This window comes from Homo sapiens, chromosome 11 (genome assembly GCF_000001405.40).
Source record: "Homo sapiens chromosome 11, GRCh38.p14 Primary Assembly".
In the NCBI taxonomy this organism is placed as follows: Eukaryota; Metazoa; Chordata; class Mammalia; order Primates; family Hominidae; genus Homo; species Homo sapiens.
In genome coordinates, this window is record NC_000011.10 from 16,649,633 (window position 1) to 16,673,350 (window position 23,718).

Below are 23,718 nucleotides of genomic sequence, written 5' to 3' on the forward strand. Positions count from 1 at the left end.
GAAGAAAAAGAACCTCAAAATACACCAAAACAGAACTTCCTTAAAGCATAAATTTCACAGGATCTAAAAAGCAATAACACAACAGAAAAAAAAAAGGTTTTAAGGCAACAATTAACGTGATGAATAGAACAGTACATAACATCTCAATACTAATGTTGAAGGTAAATGGCCTAAATGTTCCACTTAAAAGGTATGGAATAGCAAATAGCAGAATCGATAAAAATCCACCAATCAAGTACCTGCTGTCTTCAAGAGACTCACCCAACACATAAGGACTCACATAACCGAAAGGTAAAGGGGTAAAAAAGGATATTCCATGCAAATGAAAACCAAAAGTGAGCAAGAGTAGCTACTTTTATACCAGACAAAATAGGCTTTAAAGCAACAACAGTATAAAAAGACAAAGAGGGACATTATATAATGATAAAAAATAGTCCAACAGGAAAATATCACAAGCCTAAATACATATGCACCTAACACTAGAGCTCCCAAATTTATAAAACAATTACTACTAAACCTAAGAAATGAGACAGACAGCAACACACTAATAGTGGGGGACTTCAATACTCCACTGACAGCAGTAGACCGGTCATCAACACAGAAAATCAACAAATAATGGACTTAAACTATATCCTAGAACAAATGGACTTCATAGATATTTACAGAACATTCAATCCAACAACTTCAGGATACACATTCTTTTCTTCAGCACATGAACATTCTCCAAGATAGACCAAATGACAGGTCACAAAAGTCTCAGTAAATTTAAGAAAATCAAAATTATATCAACTATCATCTCAGATCACAGTGGAATAAAACTGGAAATTAACTCCAAAAGGAACCCTCAAAACCACCCAAACACATGGATATTAAATAATCTGCTCTTGAATAATCTTTGGGCCAACAATGAAATCAAAATACCAATTTAAAAATCTTTGAGCTGAATGGTAATAGTGACATAACATAAAAAAGCCTCTGGTATACAGCAAAAGCAGTGCTAAGAGAAAAGTTCATAGTATTAAATGCCTACATCAAAAAGTCTGAAAGAGCACAAGTAGATAATCTAAGGCCACACCTCAAGGAACTAGAGAAACAAGGACAAACCAAACCCCAACCCAGAAGAAAAGAAATAACCAAGATCAGAGCAGAACTAAATGAAATTGAAACAGAAAAAAAAAATACAAAAGATAAATGAAACAAAAAGCCGGTTCTTTGAAAAGATAAATAAAATTGATAGACCATTAGCAAGATTAACCAAGAAAAGAAGAGAGAAGATCCAAATTAGCTCAATTAGAAATGAAACAAGAGATATTACAACCAATATCAAAGAAATGCAAAAGATCATTCAAGGCTACTATGAACACCTTATGCATACAAACCAGAAAATTTAGAAGAGATGGATAAATTCCTGGAAATATACAACCCTCCTAGATTAAATCATGAAGAAATAGAAACTGAACAAACCAATAACAGCGAGATTAAAAGAGTAATTTTTAAAACTGCCTACAAAAAGAAAGTCCAGGACCAAATGAATTCACAGATAAATTCTATCAGACTTTCAAAGAAAAATCAGTACCAACCTTACCGAAACTATTCCCAAAAAAATACAGAAAGAGGGGATCTTCCCTAAAGATCATTCTATGAAGCCATTATCACCCTAATTCCAAAACCAGGAAAAAACAAAACAAAAAAAGAAAGCTACAGACTGATATCCTTGATGAACATAGATGCAAAAATCCTCAACAAAATATTAGCTAACTGAATCCAACAGCATATCAAAAAGATAATACACCATGATCAACTGGGTTTGATAACAGGAATGTAGAGATGTTTTGACAGATGCAAGTCAATAAATGTGATATACCACATAAGCAGAACTAAAACAAAAATCATGTGATCATCTCAATAGATGTAGAAAAAGCATTTGACAAAATCCAGCATCCCTTTATGATTACAACCCTCAGCAAAATTGGCATAGAAGGGACTTACCTCAAAGTAATAAAAGCCATCTATTACAAACCCACAGCCAACATTATACTGAACAGGGAAAAATTGAAAGCATTCCCCCTGAGAACTGGAACAAGACAAGGATGCCCACTCTCACCACTTCGATTCAACATAGTACTGGAAGTCCTAGCCAGAGCAATCAGACAAGAGAAAGAAATAAAGGGCATCCAAATTGGTAAAGAGGAAGTCACACTGTCACTGTTCACAGATTATATGATCATATACCTAGAAAATCCCAAAGACTCATCCAGAAAGCTCATAGATCTGATAAGTAAAGCTTCAGAATACAAAATTTATGTACACAAATCATTAGCACTGCTATATACCAACAATTACTAAGCTGAGAAACAAATCAAGAATTCAATCCCTTTTACAACAGCTGCAAAAAAATATATGCCTAAAAATATACCTAACCAAGGAGGTGAAAGATCTCTACAAGAAAACTACAAAACACTGCTGAAAGAAATTATCAATGACATAAACAATGGAAACACATTCCATGCTCACGGATGGATAGAATCAATACTGTGAAAATGACCATACAGCCAAAAGCAAGCTACAGATTCAATGCAATTAGCATCAAAGTACCATCATTATTCTTCACAGAACTAGGAAAAACACTCTTAAAATTCATGTAGAACCTAAAAAGACCTTGCATAGCCAAAGTAATACTAAGCAAAAAGAACAAATATGGAAGTATCACTTTAACTGACTTCAAACTATACTACAAGGCTACAGTTACTAAAACAGCATGGTACTGGTATAAAAATAGGTACATAGACCAATGAAACAAAATAGAGAACCCAGAAATAAAGCCAAGTACTTAACAGACAACTGATCTTTGACAAAGCAAACAAAAACATAAAGTGAGCAAAGGACACCTTATTTAACAAATAGTGCTGGGATAATTGGTAAGCCACATGTAGAGGAATGAAACTGGATCCTCATCACTCACCTTATACAAAAATCAACCCCAGGTGGATCAAAGACTTAAATCTAAGACCTGAAACCCTAAAAATTCTAGAAGATAACATTGGTAAAACTCTTCTAGACATTGACTTATGCAAAGAGTTCATGACCAAGAACCCAAAAGCAAATGCAACAAAAACAAAAATAAATAGATGGGACCTAATTAAACTAAAAAGCTTCACTGCAGCAAAAGAAATAACCAGCAGAGTCAATAGACAACCCACAGAATAGGAGAAGATATTCACAAACTATGCATCCAACAAAGGACTGATATCCAGAATCTACAAAGAACTCAAACAAATCAGCAAGAAAGAAACAAATAACCACATCAAAAACTGGGCTAAGGATGTGAATAGACAATTCTCAAAAGAAGATACACAAATGGCCAAAAAACATATGAAAAAAATGCTCAATATCACTAATTATCAGGGAAATACAAATTAAAACCTCAATGAGCTACCACCTTACTCCTGCAAGAATGACCATAATTTTAAAAACTCAAAAAATAATAGATGTTGGCATGGATGCAGTGAAAAGGGAACACTTACACACTGCTGGTGGGAATGTAAACTAGTACAACCACTATGGAAAACAGTATGGAGATTCCTTAAAGAACTAAAAGTAGATCTACTATTTGATCCAGCAATCCCACTATTGGGTATCTACCCAGAGGAAAAGAAGTCATTATATGAAAAAGACACTTGCGAGCACATTTATAGCAGCATAATTTGCTATTGTAAAAATATGAAACCAGCCCAAACACCCATCAGCCAACAAGTAGATAAAGAAAATGCAAATGTGGTAAATATACACCATGGAATAACGACTTAGCCAAAAAAGGAATGAAATGATGGCATTCACAGCAAACTGGACTGAGTTGGAGACCATTATTCTAAATAAAGTAACTCAGGAATGGAAAACCAAACATCGTATGTTTTCACTCATAAGTGGGAAATAAGCTATGAGGATACAAAGGCATAAGAATTATACAATGGACTTTGGGGACTAGGGGAAGCGGGTAGGAGGGTGAGGGATGATAAAGCACTACACATTAGGTACAGTGTACACTGCTTGGGTGATGGGTGCACCAAAATCTCAGAAATTACCAGTAAGTAACTTATCCATGTAACAAAAAGGCATGTTCCCCAAAAATTATTGAAATAAAAAATAAAATGAAATGCAACTTCTTCAACTTGCTATTGCTGTCTAAAGTTTTACATTTGATCTTAGCCAAAAGACCAAGAAGAATGCAGAGTTTTAGAGCTTTATATTTTAACATAATATAATATTTATGTAATATTACATAAAATATTTATATAAAAACACAAAATATGAATTTAACACAAAATAATCTGATTTTAAGTCAAAATTTATTAAATTTACCACTATATTTTATTAATGTTTGTTCTAACCATTTTCTTTTGTATTTCACACCTTCACTCTGAGTTCATCTTTCTTCTTGCTAGAGTATATTACTTTTTAAATAGTTTTAGAGTCTATAGATAATAAGTGATTTTGAGTTTGTATGTCTCAAAAGTGCTACATATTGTCATCTCTCTTTTTTTATTTAGAGACAGGCTCTCAGTGTATCACCCAGGCTGAAGTGCAATGGAGTCATCTTGGCTCAACATATCACTGTAGGCTTGACCTTTCAGTCTCAAGCAATCTTCCCACCTGAGCCTCCCAAGTAGCTAGGACTACAGGCACATACCGCCATGCTTGGCTAATTTTGTGTGTGTGTGTTTGTGGTGACAAGGACTCACTTGTTGCCCAGGCTGGTCTCAAACTCCTGGGCTCAACCAATACTTCTCCCTTGACCTCCCAAAGTGCTGGAAGCCACCATGACTAGCTTTGTTTTTAAAAGAGAGACAGAGTTTTGCTATGTTGCCCAGGCTGGGTTCAAACTCCTGGCCTCAAGCACTCTTCCCATCTCAACCTCCCAAATCACTGGGATTATAGACATGAGCCACTGCACTCAGCCCTGTCATCACTCTTGACTGATGGCATAAAACTAAGAATAAAATTCTAGGCTGATATATATCCATAATAATTAAAAATTAATTTAAGAAATTTTAGGCTAATACTTGTATCCTTCAGCATTTAAAAGTTACTGTTTCATTGTCTTCTAGCATCTATTATCATTGCTAAGAAGCCTTCTGCTAGTCCAAAATTAATCATATTATGTTCACCTCATTACTTCATTACTCATATTCTTCAGTTTTACTATGATGAACCTGTTGAGGGACAGTTACTATGAGACAAATATTTGATCACCAGACCCTGCTGAAGGGGCCTTATTCATATCTGTCCAAATCACTGTTCCCCTTTTCTAATAATAAACCATCTCCCTACACAGGAATGATAACCACAAAGAGGTGCTCCTTAAGTAAAGGTAAAAGGTTGTAACCTCTGGGGATGGGCAGGAAGAGCAGAGGTGGTCGGAGAAGGAAAGGAATTTTCTATAGAATATAGGAATTGAGTGAAGGGAGAATTCACCCAAAACCTCATGGGGACTTGTCTATTTCTTCCAGGCACATTGACGCTGGGATTCTAGGATGCAGATGGTAGGGATTAGATACAACTTCCTGAGCTGGCAGTGAAAGGACTGACGTTTGGTTCCCTATAACTTGGGGAGGGGCTGGTAAAGGTAAGACACAAGAGAACTAAGTGCCCATACTTGATCCCAGCTAAATCAATCTTCCTAGCATTCCACCCAGAAAGGATTTTGACAACTTTATTAAATGAAACTGGGAAGTGAAGATTAGGCTCAGTGGAGCCAGATTGGAATCCAGACAACATGGCTTAAGGAAAAAGAGGAAACACGAAAGGTGACATAAAGGGCAAAAGAATGAAATGGAGCCTGAAGACATTTACAGGCAAGATTAACAAAAATTGAGCCTGAGTTCTGCAATTCACAGTCCTAAAACTATTTTTTATTTATCCTGCTCAGTACTCAAAGTATACTTTTGATATGGAATAAATCTTTTCTCAATTCTGGAAAATTTTTAGCTATCTTTGTTTAGAATATTGCTTTTTCAAAATTTTCTTCATTCTCTTGTTCTGAAACTCGTACTAGAAATATGTTAGCATTGCTGATCTTTCTTACATGCCCCTTCACTGGCTCTGTCATGTTTTTTATCTCTAGGTTTTAGATGAAATCAATAGTACTAGCTGGTTAATTCACTCATCAGTTCCTCGATTATGCCTAGTAAAGAACTTTTTTCTGGCCAGGCGTGGTGGCATACACCTACTTGAGAGACTGAGGCAGGAGGATCACTTGAGCCCAGGAGTTCAAGGCTGCAGTGAGCTATGATCACACCACTGCACTCCAACTTGGGTGACAGAGTGAGACCCTGTCTCATTAAAAAAAAAAAGAATTTATCCTATTACTTTTTTGTATTTTTCCAGAATTCTGAAATGCCATATTGGCATCCAGGAAAATATATTACTCACCTGTGACACAAAGAAAGAAGTCTTGCTTTTTTTTTTGAGAAGGAGTCTTGCTATGTCACCAGGCTGGAATACAGTGACGCCATCTCAGTTCACTGCAACCTCCGACTCCCTGGTTCAGCAATTCTCCTGCCTCAGCCTTCAGAGTAGCTGGGATTACAGGCACATGCCACCACGCCCAATTAATGTTTGTATTTTTAGTAGAGACAGGGTTTCACCATGTTGGCCAGGATGGTCTCAATCTCCTGACCTCATGATCCGCCCACCTCGGCCTCCCAAAGTGCTGGGATTACAGGCATGAGCCACCGTGCCAGGCCACATTTTAAAATTAGTACATGACGTACCAGGAGAGTCTTTATGGTCCATGAATACATAGTGGACCACGCTCACAGAAACAGTATTTTAGCTTAACTCCTTGGTTAAGCTAACTCCTTGGTTAAGCTAAAACTCATCTTAAACAATTTTTCAGATTTTAGACTTTTAATTTAGAGAGTTTCACATACTATAATGTTCATGGCATATATATAATCTCAAAATTTTCCACTAATTCATACTTTTTATACTTACAGTTTAGAAGAGTCTAAATAAAATTTTACTTTAAAAGCCAATGACCATAAATTGCTTTTGTTAGTATATATTTTGTACTATATATCTGTTTTCTGGCACTTCTTAAATAAAAAATTTACTATGTATTGTTACAAAACTATGAAAGAAAAAATAATCTATTACATTGTTTTTAAATTAGTAGATTTTTTTAAATAAATGTTTTAGGTTTACAGAAAATTGGTCAGACGAGAAAGAAAGTTCTCATATATCTCACTATCCCGGCTCACAGTTTCCCCTATTATTAACATCTTGCATTAATGTGTATGTTTGTTACAACTGATGAACCAATATTGACATATTATTATAAACCAAAGTCCATAGTTTACATTAGAGTTTACTGTATGTTCTACATTTCTATGTGTTTTCACACTGCTTAATGTCATGTATCCACCATTACAGTATCATACAGAATCACTTCACTGCCCTAAAAATCCTCTGAGCTTTGCCTATTCATTTCTCCATCCCTCCTAACCCCTAGCAACCACTGATCATTTTACTGTCTCCATAGTTTTGCTTTTTCCAAAATGCCATATGTTGGAATCATAAAGTCTTTGCAGAATGGCTTCTTTCACTCAGTAATATGCATTTAAGTTTCCTCCATATATTTTTATGGCTTGATAGCTCATTTATTTTTAACACAATAATATTCCATTATCTGGATGTGCCACAGTTTATCCATTTACCTGCTGCAGGATATCTTGATTTCTTCCAAGTTTCAGCAATTATGAATAAAGCTGTTATTCATGTGCATGTGTTTATATGAACATAAATCTTCAACTCATTTGGGTACATAACCAGGGATGCAATTGCTAGATCATATTGTAAGAGTATGTTTAGTTTTGTAAGAAACTGCCAAACTGTTTTCCAAACTGGCTGTACCATTTTGCATTCCAATGAACAATGAATGAGAGTTCCTGTTGTGACACATCTTCACCAGCATCTGGCATTGTCAAGGTTTTGTGTTGCTGTTTGTTGAGGTGGCTTGTTTTTTACTTTTTTGTTTTTTAGCCATCCTAATAAGTGTATAGTGGTATCTCACTGTGGTTTTAATTTGCACTCCCTAGTGACATATGATGTTGAGCATCTATTCATGTTTCTTTGCCATTTCTTCTTTAGTGAGATGTCTATTCAGATCTTTTGCCCATTTTTTAATTGGGCTGTTTGTTTTCTTACTGCTGTATTCTAAGGGTTCCTTATATGAAGGTTCTGCAACATGCTATTTTTACTCAGTATAATGTTTCTAAGAGTCATCCATGTTATAGCACATAATTGGAGTTTATTCATTTTCTCTGCTATACTATATTCCATTATTTCCCTGATGGATTGTTTCCAGTTTTTGTTAATATAAATACATATGAACATCTCATAAAAATCGCTTTGTGTATCAAAAAGTATTAAAGATAATGCCGAACATTTTTCCAATGTGGCTATACAATGTACTTTCTCATCAGCAATATAGAAGATTTCCCATTTGTTCTCATCCTCTGCAATGCTTTATATGGTCAGAGTTGTTCACTTTTGGCAATCTAGTGGGTATAAAGATCTAACTGTGGTTCTACCTGGTATTTCCGTGATTACCAGTGAGACAGAGCATCTCTTCTTATGGTTATATGCCACACATATTTTCTCTTTTGTGAAACACCAGTTCATATCTTTTGCGTATTTTTCAATTGTGTGGTCATCTATCTTATAGATTTATATATCATTGAATATGTTCTATACTAATCCTTTGTTGGTGATATGTATTAAAATATGTTCTCCTGGCCAGGTGCGGTGGCTCACGCCTGTAATCCCAGCACTTTGGGAGGCCAAGGCAGGCAGATCACGAGGTCAGAAGATCGAGACCATCCTGGCTAACACGATGAAACCCCGTCTCTACTAAAAATACAAAAAATTAGCCAGGCGTGGTGGCGGGCACCTGTAGTCCCAGCTACTAGGGAGGCTGAGGCAAGAGAATGGCGTGAACCCGGGAGGCGGAGCTTGCAGTGAGCCGAGATCAAGCCACTGCACTCCAGCCTGGGCAACAGAGAGAGACTCCGTCTCAAAAAAAAAAAAATGTTCTCCTGAGTTTGGCTTGACTTTCATTTTCTTTATGTCACATTTTAAGAAGTCTTCAAAATGTAATACATATGAAAGCCCTAAAATTAATCCTATTTCTAATTGGAAAAATGTTTAAATTGAAAACTCATTAAGAGTATATAAGTAGTTATCCTTTTAGCTAACATGATTGTTTTCACTTCCTTTTTTAAAAAAAGAAGTTCTTTATATGCTTCAGATACACATCTTTATCAAACACATATTTTACAAATATTTTCTCCCACTTTCTGGCTTGTTTTTTTCTTAACAATGTCATCTGCAGAAAAGTTTTTAATCTTAGTAAAGTTCAGCTTAACAATTTTCCTCTCATGGACTCTGCTTTTTGGTGCTGTATCTAAAAAATCACGGCCAGAGCCAAGGTCACCTAGATTTTCTTTGATAATATCATCTAAAAGTTTTACAGTTTTGCATTTTACATTTAAGTCTATGATCCACTATCAGTTAATTTTTGTGGAAAGTATAAGGTCGGTATCTAAATTCATTTTTTTGCAGGTAGATACCAAGTTATCAAGTTCCAGCAGCATTTTTTGAAAAGACTGTCTCTTTATTGAATTGCCTTTGCACCTTTTGCCAAAGATTAGTTGATTGTATTTGTGTAGTTCTATTTATTAGCTCTCTATCCTGTTTCATTGATTTATTTGTCTCTTCTTTTGCCAACACCATACTGTATTGGTTACGGTAGTTTATGAAGCCAGGTAGTGTCACTCTCCAACTCTCTTATTCTCCTTCAATAATGTGTTAGCTATTCTGGGTTTTTCCCCTTCCATGTAAACTTTAGAATCAGTTTCCTGATAGCCACAAAATAATGGTGGGCTTTTGACTGGGATTGCATTGACTCCATAGATCAAGTTGGGAAGAAGTGACATCTTAGTGCTGGCCACATAGCATAAGTTAGGAAGTGTTCCTTTTGCTTCTATTTTCTGGAAGAGATTGTTGAGAATTAGTATGATTTTTTTCTTTTTTCACTGGTAGAATTTACCAGTGAAACCATCTGGGCCTGGTACTTTGTATTTGGAAAGTTATTATTGACTCAATTTCTTTTATATACGGGGGCCTATTCAGATTATCTATTGCTCCTTGTGTGAGTTTTAGTAGATTAGATCTTCCAAGGAATTGGTCTATTTCATATGTTATCAAATTTGTGGGCACTGAGTGTTTATAATTACCTTTATTTTCCTTTTAATGTTCATGGAATCAGTATAGTTGGTCCCACTTTCATTTTTTTATGTTAGTAATGTGTGTCTTCTTTTTTCTTTGGTTAGACTATCTGGAGGCTTATCAATTTTATTAATCTTTTCAAAGAGCCAACTTTGGTTTCATTGATTTTCTCTACGGTTTTCCTATTTTCAATGTCATTGATTTCTGCTCTTTTGTTATTTCTTTTCTTCTGTTTGTTTTAGGTTTATATTGTTCTTCTTTCTCAGTTTCCTAAGGTGGAAATTCAGATAATTTATTTAGAGCTTTCTTTTTTAATATATGCATTTAATGCTATAAATTGTTTTCACTGCATCCCACAAATTTTGATAAGTTGCATTTTTATTTTAATTTACCTCAAAATATTTTTAATTTCTCTTGAGACTGATTCTTTGACCCATGTGTTATTTATAAGTATGTTGTTTCATCTCCAAACATTTTGGAATTTTTCCACTATCTGTTATTTATTTCTAGTTTAATTTTACTGTGGTCTGAGAGCATGTTTCGTAAGGTTTCTATTTTTCTAAATTTGTTGGTTTTGATGCCCAGAATGTGATCTATCTAGGTGAATGCTCTATGTGAGCTTGAGAAGAATGCATACTTTGCTAGTATTGAATGAAGTATTCTCTAAATATCTGCTTTGATCTCAATGTTGTGTTTCCCCAAAATTCATATGTTGAAATACTAACCCACAAGGTGATGGTACTAGAGGTGGGGCTCTTTAGGAGATGAAGGTTATAAAGGCAGAGCTCTTATAGATGGGATTAGTACCCTTATAAAAGAGATCCCAGACAGCCGCCTTGCCCTTCCACCATGATGACACATAGAGAAGGTGCCATGTATGAGGAATGGGCCCTCAACAGATGCCAAATATGCTAGTGCCTTGATCCTGGACTTCTCTGTCCCCCAGAATTGCGAGAAATAAATGTTTGTTGTTTAAAAGTCACCCAGTTTTTGGTATTTTTGTTACAGCAGCTCAAAAGACTAAGACAATGTCAATTAGATCTAGTTAGCTGAGAGTGCTATTCAGTTCAACTATACCCTTGCTAATTTTCTAACTGCTGAACCTGTCTTTTACTGATAAATGTGTGTTAAAGATTCCAACAATAATAGTGGATTTGTTTATTTCTCCTTGTAGTTCTATCAGTTTTTACCTAATGCAATTTGACACTTTGTTATTAGGCACATAAATATTAAGGATACTTATGTCTTCTTACAGACTGACCCAGTTATCATGTCATGTTCTTCTTTATTCCTGATAGTTTTTCTTGTTCTGAAGTCTGCTTTGTCTGAAGATAAAGTGTGCTACCACAGCTTCTTTTGATTTGTGTTAGTACGGTATATCTTTATCTCCTTACTTTTAATTTTTCTGTGTCTTAATATTTAAATTGGGCTTTTTGTAAACAAAATATAATTGGGTCATTTTTCTACCCACTCTGTCAGTCTCTTGATGTATTTACAACAATCACATTTAAAGTGATTATTGATGTATTTGGATTAACATCTACCATATTTGTAACCATTTTCTATGTGCTGCACCTGTTTTTTCTTTTAAAAAAAATCTTACCCTCTTTTCTGCCTTCCCTGGTCTTTTTTTTCTTTTCTTTTTTGAGACAAGGTCCTGCTCTGTCACGAAGGCTGAAGTACAGTGGCGGGGGCATAGCTCATCACAGCCTCAAACTCCTAGACTCAAGCAATCCTCCCATCTCAGTCTCCAATGCAGTTAGGACTACAGGCACAAGTCACTAAGTGCAGCTAATTTTTTTTACTTTGTGTAGAGATGGAGGTCTTACTATGTTGCTCAGACTGGTCTTGAACTCCTAGCTGCAAATGATCCTCCCACCTTGGCCTCCCAAAGGGCTGGGAGACTCTAGGGATTACAGGCTCTAGTCCTAATTGAGCATTTTATATGATTATACTCTCTCCTCGTTTTCCATGCTGCTTCAAATTCAGATATCCTTATAGCAGATTATTCCCAATTTCTCTCTTCTGTCCCCTGTAACAGTGCTGTCATTCATTTCACTTATCTATAAGCTATATTCACCAAATACATTGTTGCTATTACGTTAAATGAATAGTTATCTATTAAATCATCTAAAAATAAGAAAAATAAAAGGTTTTATTTTTTTACCTCCATTCATTCTTTCTGTAACACTCTTTCTTTCTCTATGTAGATCTGAGTTTCTGACCTATACCCTTTTCTTGCTCTCCAAATAACTTTTGAAATTTCTTGCAAAGCAGATAGACTAGCAACAAATTCCCTCAGTTTTTGCTTGTCTGAGAAAGTCATTATCTTGCCCTCACTTTGAAGGATAATTTTGCCGGATAAAGAATTCTAAGTTGGTAGAGTTTTTTCTTTCAAAATGTAAACTATTTCTCTCCACTGTCTGCTTGTTTGTGAAAAGAATTCAATGTAATTCTTAACCTTATTCCTCTGTAAATAAGGTGGATTTTTTCCTCTGGTTTCTTTCAAAACATTCTATTTTTCTTTGGTATTCTGCAGTTTGAATATCCCTCATAGAAACAGATACAAATATCCTTAACAAAACATTGGCAAATCAAATCCAACAATATAATATTTTTAAAAAGGATAATAAATAATGACAAAGTAAGAATTCAAGATTGGTTTAACATTCAAAAATCAATGATACCATATTAGCAGAACAAAGGAGAAAAATATATAATTTTAATAAATGCAAAAAAAAGCATTGGACAAAATTCAAAAGAAATTAATTTTAAAAAACTTTTTTTCTTTTCAGACAGGGTCTCACTCTGTCACCCAGGTGGTTGTGCAGTGGCATAATCATGGTTCACTGCAGCCTCAACCTCCTGGGTTCAAGTGATCCTCTCACCTCAGCCTCCTGAGTAGATCTGACTAAAGGCACTTGCCATCACGCCTGGCTTTTTTGGGGGAGGCGGGGGAGATAGTGTCTCCTATGTTTCCCAGGCTGCTTGTGAATTCCTGTCCTCAAGCAATTCTCCCACCTTGGCCCCCAAAGTTTTGGGATTATACGTGTAAGCCACCATACCCATCCTAAAAAAAAGTATTAACAAAACAAAAATATCCATTCCCAAGGGTCTCAGTTAAAAAAAAAAAGAAAGAAAAAGGACAAACCAAAAATAGAAGGAAATCTCCTCAATCTTATAAAAGGTATGTATGGCAGGGGAAGTTATAATTAACATTCATAATAGTCAAATATTGAAAAAAGATCAGGAAAAAGGCAGTGAATGCTCAGGCTCACCAATTCTATTCAATGTAGCACTGAAGGTCTTAGCCATTACAATATGGCAAGAATAGAAAATAAAAGGAAAAAATATACATTTTTTAAAAAAGTAAAACTATTTCTTTTTTAATATGTAAGGCTATATTTTTTTTTCTTATTTTTGAGACAGGGTGTCACTTTGTCAACCAACCTGGAGTGCAATGGTACAAACAAACTCACTGCAACATCAAACTCCTGGGCTCAAGGGATCCTCCTGCTTCAGCCCCCCAAGTGGCTGGGACTACAGGTGCATGACACCATACTCAGCTAATTTTTGCATTTTTTGCAGATACGGGGTATCACCATGTTCCCCAGGCTGGTCTCAAATGCCTGAGCTAAAGAAATCCACCCACCTCAGCCCTGCTGGGATTACAGGCATGAGCCACCATGCCCAGCCTATTTTTAAAAAGTCTAAGAAATCTACCAATCATGAGAATTAAAAAGTGAATTTAGCAAGATCACAAGATACAAGGTTAATATTTGAAAACTAAAGGATTTGTATATATTAGCAGCAAACAATTAGAAAAAGAAGTTAATACCAACTATTCTTGTTCAATTAATTCGAGGTATGTTTTCATAATTTCTAATCCTTTTTGTTATACCTTCTTTGATCATTTTCGACATCATAAACATACTTACTTTAAAGCCTTTAACAAATTCTTACAAAATCATTTTAATATGCAGCACATTTATATTTCAATTATTGATTTTTATTGACTTAAGATCAATATAGAGTCAGTAGATGGAGCAAAATGGGTGAATAGAAGACTCCACTGGCCAGGTGTGATGACTCATGCCTTTTAGGAGGCCAGGGCAGGAGTAGCACTTGAGCCTAAGAGTTCAAGACAAGCCTGGGCAACATAGCAAGACCTCATCTCTAAAAACAAAACAAAACAAAAACAAACAAACAAACAAAAAACAAAGGAAGCCTCCACTCTTCATCCTCCCCACAGGAACACCAAATTGAACAACTATCCACATGCAAAAAAAGCACATTCATAAGAACCAAAAATCAGATAAGCAATCACAGTACCTAATTTTAACTTCATATCACTGAAAAAGTCACTGAAGAGGGTGGAAAAGCCAGTCTTGAATTGTTGATGCCACCCCTACCCCATCCCCTGGCACAGGCCACAAGGAGTGGAGAAAGAATCTGTACACTTGGGGGAGAGACAGCACAGTGATTGTGGAACTTAGCATTGGAACTCAGTGCTGCCCTGTCACAGCAGAAAGCAACACCAGGAAGATCTCAGCTGGTGCCTGTGGAGGGAGCATTTAGACCAGAACTAGCCAGAAGAGAATTACCCATCCCAGCAGTCAGAATCTGAGTTCTGGCAAGCCTTACCACTGCAGGCTAATGTCCTCTAGGGTCCTAAATAAACTTGAAAGGCAGTCTAGGCCACAAAGACTATTATTCCTGGGCATGTCCTGGTGCTGTACTGGACTCGGAGCCAGTGGACTCGGCGGGGCACATGACCTAGCAAACCACCAGCCAGGGAAGCCAAGGGAGTGCTTGTGCCACCCCTGCCTCAACCACAGGCAGTGCAGCCCACAGGTCCAGGAAAGACTACTTCCTTCTGCTTGAGGAAAAGAGAGCAAAGGGTAAAGAGTACTTTGTCTTGCAACTTGGATACCAGCTCAGTCACAGTAGGATAGGGCAGCAGAGAGAGTCCTGAGGCCCCCATTCCAGGCCCTAGCTCTTGGATGACATTTCTAGACACACCTTGGGCCAGAAGGGAACCTCATACCTTGAAGGTAAGGACCCAGTCTTGGCAGGATTCATCATCTGCTGACTAAAGAGCCCTTGGGCCTGAATAATCAGCAGGGGTAACCAGACAGTATTTGCCATGGGCCTTGGGTAAAACTGGGAGACTTGCTGGCTTCAAGTGTGACACAGCAAATTCCCAGCTGTGGTGAATATGGGGAGAGACTCCTTCTGCTTGAGAAAAGGAGAAAGAACGGTAAAGGGGACTTTGTCTTGCAGCTTCAATACCAGTGGGATAGAGCAACAAGCAGGCTCTTTAGGTCCCCAGTTCCCAGCCTTTGTTCTTCAGTGGTATTTCTGGACCTGCTCAGGGCCAAAGGGGAGCCCACTGACCTAAAGAGAGAGTCCCAGGCCTGGTAGCATTCACCACAAGCTGACTGAAGAGACCTTGGGCCTTGAATGAACATTTGTGGTAGCAAGGCAATATGTGCCACAGGGCAGAGGTGCCATGGGGAAAAACTCCTCTGCTTGTGGACTAAGGGGGGAAAACAGTGGGAAGGACTTTGTCTTGTGGCTTGGGTGCCAGTTCAGCCATAGTAGAGTACAGCACCAGGTAGATTCCTAAGGTTTCTGACTTCAGGCCTTGGCTCCTGGACAGCATCTCTAGACCTGCCCAGGACTGGGGGGATCTTGTTACCCTGAAGGGAAGGACACAAGCCTGGCTGGCTTCACCTCCTGCTTATTGCAGAGGCCTAGAGCATTCAGTAAACATAGGCAATAGGCAGGCAGTGGTTGCTGCAGGCCTTGGACAAGACCCAGGGCTGTGCTAGCTTTAGGTTTGACCCAGTGCAGTCGCAGTGGTGGTGGCCACAGGGGTGCTTGTGTGACCCCTGCCCCAAATCCAAGCAGCTCATCACAGAGAGACTGTTTGTTTGGGAGAAAATAAGGAAAAAGAACAAGTGTCTCTGCCTGGTAATCCAGGGAATTCTTCTAGATCTTATCTAAGACCACCAAGTTGGCACATCTGTAAGTCTGCAAGAGCCACAGTATTACTTGGCTGAACATTACTGCTACCTAATGCAGATACAGATGCAGTGACCAAAAACTGAAATCATAGCACCCAAGTCCCTTCAAATACCTGCAAATCCTCCCCACAATGGACAGATACAAACAAGCCCAGACTACAAAGACTACAATGAATACTTAACTCCTCAGTGCCCAGATACCAACAAACATCCACAAGCATCAACACCGTCAGGAAAACATGATCAAAAACATGACTTCACCAAACAAACTAAATAAGGCACCAATGACAAATCCTGGAGAGAGAAAGATATGTGACCCTTCAGAAAGAAAATTCAAGATAGCTGTTTGAGGAAACTCAATAAAATTCAAGATAACACAGAGAAGAAATTCAGAATCCTATCAGATGAATTTAACAAAAGATTGAAATAATTTAAAAGAATCAAATGGAAATTCTGGAGTTGAAAAATGCAAATGACATACTGAATAATGCATCAGAGTCTCTTAACAGCAAAATTGATCAAGGAGAAGAAAGAATTAGTGAGCTTGAAGACAGGCTATTTGAAAATATATAGTCGGCTGGGTGTGATGGCTCATGTCTGTAATCCCAGCTCTTTGGAAGGCCAAGGCAGGCAGATCACTTGAGATTAGGAGTTTGAAAACAGCCTGGCAAATATGGCAAAACCCGTCTCTACTAAAAACACAAAAATTAGCTAGGCAGGTGCCTATAATCCCAGCTATTCAGGAGGCTGAGGCAGGAGAATCACTTGAACCTAGGAACACAGGTTGCAGTGAACCGAGATCGTGCCACTGCACACCAACCTGGATGACAGAGTGGGACACCATCTCAAAAAAAAAAGAAAATATAGAGTCAAAGGAGACAAAAGAATAAAAAATAAGCATGCCTATGAGATCTAGAAAATAGTCTTAAAAGGGCAAATCTAAGAAATATTGGCCTTAAAGAGAAAGTAGAGGGAGAGACAGAAAGTTTATTCAAAATATAATAACACCTGGGCATGGTGGCTCATGCCTATAATCCCAGCACATTGGGAAGCCAAGTCCAGAAGTTCAAGACCAGTTTGGATAACATGGCAAAATCCCATCTCTACCAAAAAATTAAAAAAAAAAAAAAGTTAGCCAGGCATAGTGGTGCACACCTGTCCCAGCTGAGTAGTCCCAGCTACTCAGGAGGCTGAGGTAGAAGGATGGTTTGATCCCAAAAGATGAAGTTTGCAGTGAACCGAGATCACACCACTGCTTTCCAGCCTGGGCAACAGCCAGACCCTGTCTCAATAAGAAAACAAAACAAAACAGGATAATAACAGGGAAATTCTCAAACCTAGAAAAATATATCAATATTGAAATACAAAAAGGTTATAGAACACCAAGCAGATATAACCCAAAGAAGACTACATCAAGATATTTAATAAGCAAACTCCCTCAGATCAAGGATGAAGGTTAAAAATACAGTCCTAAGATCAACAAGAGACAAGAAACAAGTAATATACAAAGGAGCTCCAATATGTCTAGCAGCAGACTTTTCAGTGGAAATCTTACAACCCAGGAGAGAGTGGCATGAATTATTTAAAGTGCTGAAGGAAAAAAAAAAAAAAACTTTTATCCTAGAATAGTGTATCCAGTGAAAATATCCTTCAAACATGGGGAAATAAAGACTTTCTCAGACAAAAGGTGAGGTATTTCATCAACATGAGACCTATCCTACAAAAAATGCTAAGGGGAGTTCTTCAATCTGAAAGAAAAGGATGTTAAATGAACAAGAAAAAATCATCTTAAGGTACAAAAGTCACTGGTAATAGTATGTACATAGAAAGATGCAGATTATTATAACACTGTAAATGTGGTGCATAAACTACACAAATCTTCAGTAGAAAGACTAAAAGATGAACCCACCAAAAGTAATAACTACAACAAATTTTCAAAAAATAGTATAATAAAATATAAATAGAAACAACAAAAAGTTAAAAAGCAGGGGGATGAAGTTAAAGTGTAATGCTTTTATTCATTTTCTCTTTGCTTGTTTGTTTGCTTGCTTGTTTATGCAATCAGTGTCAAGTTATCAGTTTAAAATAATAAGTTATAAGATAGTATTTGCAAGCCTCATGGTAACACCAAAAAACATACAACAGACCAGCGTGGTGGCTCACGTCTGTAATCCCAGAACTTTGGGAGGTCAAGGCAGTGGATCACTTGAGGTCAGGACTTCAAGACCAGCCAGGCCAACATGGGGAAACCCCGTCTCCACTAAAAAATACAAAAATTAGCCAGCATGGGGGTGCATGCCTGTAGTCCCAACTACTCCAGAGGCTGAGGCAGGAGAATTGCTTGAACATGGGAGGCAGAGGCTGCAGTGAGCCAAGATCATGCCACTGCACTCCAGTCTGGGTGACACAGGGAGACTCCATCAAAAAAAATCAATCAATCAATAAATAAACAGATACACAAAAAATAAAAAGCAAGAAATTAAAAATTATCATCTGAGAAAATCACCTTCACTAAAAAGGAAGGCAGGAAGAAAGGACAGAAGGAAGAGAAGACCATAAACCAACCAGAAAACAAATAACAAAATATCAGGAGTAGGCCCTTACTTATCAATAATAATACTGAATGTACATAAACTAAACTTTCCAGTCAAAGACACAGAACAGATGAATGGATTAAACAAATAAGACCCAACAATCTGTTGCCTACAGTAAACACACTTTACCTATAAAAACACACATAGACTGAAAATCAAAAAATGGAAAAAGTCATTCCATGCCAATAGAAACTAAAAAGTGCAGGAGTAGCTACACTTAGACGAAATAGATTTCAAGACAAAAAGTATAAAAAGAAATAAAGAAGGTCATTATATGATAAAGGGGTCAACGAGGATAAACAATTATAAATATATATGCACCAAACACTGGAGCACCCAGATATATAAAGCAAATATTACTAGCATGAAGAAGAGAAATAGACCCCAATACAATATTAGCTGGAGACTTTAACACCATGCTTTCAGCACTGAACAAATTATTCAGACACAAAATAAACAAAGAAACACTGTACTTAATCTGCACTATAGAGCAAATGGACCAAATAGATATTTACAGAATATTTCATCTAATGGTTGCAGAAAAATCATTCTCCTCAGCACATGGATCATTCTCAAGGATAGACCATATATATGTTAGGCCACAAAACAAGTCTTTAAAAATTGAAAAAAAATTGAAGTTATATCAAGTATCTTCTCTGACCATAATGGAATAAAAGGAAATCAATAACAAGAGGAATCTTGGAAACAATAAAAATACATGGAAATTATCCAATATGCTCCTGAATGACAGGGGTTCAATGAAGAAATTAAAAAGAAAATTAAAACTTTTCAAACAAGGCAGGACAACAGCCCATCCTAGAGCAACATGGAGCCAAGGGAACCTCCCCCACCCAGGGAAGTGGTACTGGAAAATCCAAGACAACTAGGGACTGCAGCACACCCCCAGCATACTGCAGCAGCCCTACAGAAAAGTGGCTGGAGTGTCACATGGGTGCCTGTTCCCATATCTCCTCACTGGGCAGGTTCTCCAGGCCCTGGGCCTCCAGCCATACCCGGCTGGGGCTATTGAGCCAGGGGCATCTCTGCAATTCCCTGGACAGAACTCCCAGTGGGAGGGGTGGGTTGCCATCTTTGCTTTCTTACAGCCCTTGCCCTTGCTGTCTCCAGGCTTGGGAGAGTCTGTGGAAATCAGGGGCTCATCCCAACCCCCAGCACAGAGCAACCACCTCACAGAAAAGTGGCCAGACTGTTCTCCATGCAGATCCCAGTCCTCACTTCTCCTTACTTGACAGAGCCACACAACCTGGAACTCTGACACAACCACCCTGCCCCCACCTGATCACCACAATCAGAGACAGCCCAGCACTTCTCTGAGGAGAAAATCCCAGAGTCAACCTGCAACTGCTCTGCCACTACAGTTGCAGTCATACAACCTAACAACCCTCAAACTAGGAAGGAACAAAGGGCTGAGTCATTATGCTGGCATCCCCAGCATACCACAGCTACCACAGGGTGAGGAGTCCAGCCCCCTTCCCTGGGAATCCCTACCCCCGCCCTTCACCAGGCAAGGCCCCCAACTCATGGACACAAAGCAGCTGCCACACCCATGGCTGAGCATACCTACTTGTAGTGCCTGGAGTTTCCCTGGGGAGAGGATCCCAGAAGCACAAAACAGCCCCTCTGCCACTGACACAGTAACAGTTCTATCCCTGATGCCTTGGTCTGGGGAAGAAACAAACAGATTGAGGGTTATGCCCAAGCTTACAGTGCACCATACACACCATATGGAGAAGAGACCAATCTCTCCTCCCTGCGAGCCTTCAACCCCCTCCTCCCCAATAAGCAGACCTCCAAGCTCATACCAGCAGTACAGCCACCCCACCCCACTGGCTGAACACCCCCAGTAACAGTGACTCCATGTTTCTTGGAGGGGTAGCCCCCAAGAGCAACTGAAATCCTCTCTGCCACTGCCTCTGCAGTGAAACTGCCCTTGCTACACTTGGGCTTAACGAAGGAGCAAAGACCCTAAGTGCTTTATTCACACCTCCAACAAACTGCAGTTAGTCCAAGGAGAGGAGGCCAGTCTATCTCCCACAGATCACACCCACACCCCCTCTTGTCACCAGACAGGGAACCCCCAACTTGGGCCCACAGCACAGACTTCATACTGCACTGTTTGCAGAGCAGTTGCTGACCTGCATTTCTCTGGGGTGAAGCCCTCCGAAGACAAACAAAAGACCCTTGGCCACAACCACTACTGAGGTCCCTTCCTCGGCTGCCTCCAAGTTGGGGAAGAAACATAAGCCCTGAGATCATGCCAGAGCTGCAGTGGGCAGCCCAGGAGTGCAAAGCCATGAACTACAGCCATCACTCAATGGGAAGAGGAGTCCCCATCACTCAATGAGAGGGATCACGGCTGCAACTGTGAGGAAATATAGGAAAGTCACATGACTAAGCAAGAGCCTACCAACTGACCAATACATCTAAGTGTCACCTACTAAATCATATCCCAAATCTTCAACACCAAAAGCACCTCACTAACATACCCCACTATGAAACAAAAGACAAAAAGTAAGCTACAGATAAAGATCCTGCACAAAGCCTCAGCCCTGTGAAAACATCCAGAAAAGAAGTGTATTGACTATACTCAATCTGCACTGCAGTTAAAGAAATAGCCACATGCAGAGATGAGGAAGAACCAAGACAATAATTCTGGTAACTCAAATGGCAAGAGTGTCATATGACCTCCAAATGACCACACCAGTTCTCCAACAAAAGTTCTTAACCAGGCTGAGCTGGCTGAAATGGCAGAAATAGAATTCAGAATATGGATAGGAATGAAGGTCATTGAGATTCAGGGGACTGGCAAAACCCAATCCAAGAAAACAAGAATTGCAATAAAGTGATACAGGAGCTGAAGGATGAAATAGCCAGTACAGGAAAGAACCTAAAAGATCTGACAGTGCTGAAAAACACAATACAATTATTTCACAATACGATTATAAGTATTAACAGCAGAATAGACCAAACTGAGGAAAGAATCTCAGAACTGGAAGACTGACTCTCTGAAATAGGACAGGCAGAAAAAAATAAAGAAAAGAAAATGAAAAAAAATGAACAGAAGCCCCAAGAAATATGGAGTCACGTAAAGAGGCCAAATCTACTAATCGTTGGCATCCCTGAAAGGGAGGAGGAGAAAGCAAACAACTTGGAAAACATATTTCAGGATATCATCCATGAAAACTCCCCCAACCTGGCTAGAGAGGCCAACAGTCAGATGTAGGAAATACAGAGAACTCCTGAAAGATTCTACACAAGAATATCATCCTCAAGACACACAGCCATCAGATTTTCCAAGGTTGAAATGAAACAAAGAATGTTATGGCAGCTAAAGAGAAAGGGCAGGTCACCTACAAAGGAAACACCCTCAAGATAACACCAGATGTTTCAGCTGAAACCCTATGAGCCAGAAGAGATTGGGGGCCTACAGTCAACATTCTTAAAGAAAAAATCTTCGACCAAGAATTTTATATCTAGCCGAACTAAGCTTCCTAAGTGAAGGAGAAATAAGATCCTTTTCAGATAAGCAAATGTTGAGGGAGTTTGTTACCATCAGACCGGCCTTACAAGAGATCTTGAAAAGAGCACTAAATATAGAAAGGAAAGAATGTTACCACCTAATACAAAAACACACTTAAATACACAGACCAGTGACACTATAAAGCAACCACACAAACAAGCTGGCATGATAACCAGCTAACAACACAATGACAGGATCAAACCCACACATATCAATACTAACCTAAAATGCAAATTGGCTAAACGCCCCATTTAAAAGGCCCAGAGTGGAAAGCTGGATAAAAACACAAAACTGTATTAGTCCATTTTCATGTTGCTGATAAAGACATACCTGAGACTGGGCAATTTACAAAACAAACAGATTTAATTGGACTCACAGTTCTATGTGGCTGGGGAGGCCTCACAATCATGATGGAAGGCAAGGAGGAGCAAGTAACATCTTACATGGATGGCAGTAGGCAAAAAGAGAAACTGTGCAGGGAAACTCCAGTTTTTAAAACTGTCATATCTCATGAGACTAAGTCACTATCAGCACACAAAAGACCCGCCCCCATAATTCAACCACCTCCCACCAGGTTCCTCCCATGACACATGGGAATTGTGAGAGTTACAATTCAAGATGAGATTTGGGTGGGATAACAGCCAAATAATATCAAAGACCCAGTGGTTGCTGCTGCTGCCTTCAAGAGACCCATCTCACATGTAATGACCCTCACAGGCTCAAAGCTCAAAATAAAGGGATGGAAGAAAATCTACAAAGCAAATGGAAATCAGAAAAAAGCAGGGGTTGCAATCCTAATTTCAAACAGAATAGATTTTAAACCAACAAATATCAAAAAAGACAAAGAAGGGAATTACATAATGATAAAGTGTTCAATTCAACAAGAAGATCTAACTATCCTAAATATATACACAGCAGGCGGAGGTTGCAGTTAGCTGAGATCATGCCACTGCACTCCAGCTTGAGCGACAGAGCAAGACTCTGCCTCAAAAACAAAAACAAAAACAAAACAATGGAATACAGTGAAAGTGAAAGCAGTACTAAGAGGGAAGTTTATAGCTATAAGCACCTACATTTTAAAAAGAGAAAAACTTCAAATAACCTAACAATGTGTCTTAAAGAATTAGAAAAGCAAGACAAAACCAAGCCCAAAATTAGTAGAATAATAAAGGTCAAAGCAGAAATAAATGAAATTGAAATGAAGAAAAGAATACAAAAGAACAATGAAACAAAACGTTGTCTTTTTGAAAATATAAACAAAATTGAC

The 23,718-nt window shown here is 38.3% G+C and overlaps 1 protein-coding gene and 1 long non-coding RNA gene across 3 annotated transcripts in view, besides 2 other annotated features; one reads left to right on the top strand and one right to left on the bottom strand.

Moving 5' to 3' along the window:
• LOC105376571 (uncharacterized) overlaps positions 1-5,978 on the top strand; it is a 42,807-nt gene extending 36,829 nt beyond the window's left edge. For both annotated transcript variants that reach the window (XR_931086.3, XR_931085.3), the window contains one exon: positions 5,508-5,978. This is a non-coding gene — a long non-coding RNA (uncharacterized LOC105376571). The remainder of the gene's footprint in view (positions 1-5,507) is intronic.
• The window catches only part of SOX6 (SRY-box transcription factor 6), a 772,029-nt gene that overhangs the window by 683,184 nt on the left and 65,127 nt on the right, over positions 1-23,718 (bottom strand). The gene's annotated exons all lie outside the window — the stretch shown is intronic.
• Positions 19,900-20,401: an enhancer, noted in NCBI's record as "H3K27ac-H3K4me1 hESC enhancer chr11:16691079-16691580 (GRCh37/hg19 assembly coordinates)". NCBI's record gives its function as "activates a minimal SCP1, AML or CMV promoter by ChIP-STARR-seq in naive H9 embryonic stem cells {active_cell/tissue: H9 hESC(naive)}" and the evidence as "EXISTENCE:reporter gene assay evidence [ECO:0000049][PMID:30033119]".
• Positions 20,402-20,903: an enhancer, noted in NCBI's record as "H3K27ac-H3K4me1 hESC enhancer chr11:16691581-16692082 (GRCh37/hg19 assembly coordinates)". NCBI's record gives its function as "activates a minimal SCP1, AML or CMV promoter by ChIP-STARR-seq in naive H9 embryonic stem cells {active_cell/tissue: H9 hESC(naive)}" and the evidence as "EXISTENCE:reporter gene assay evidence [ECO:0000049][PMID:30033119]".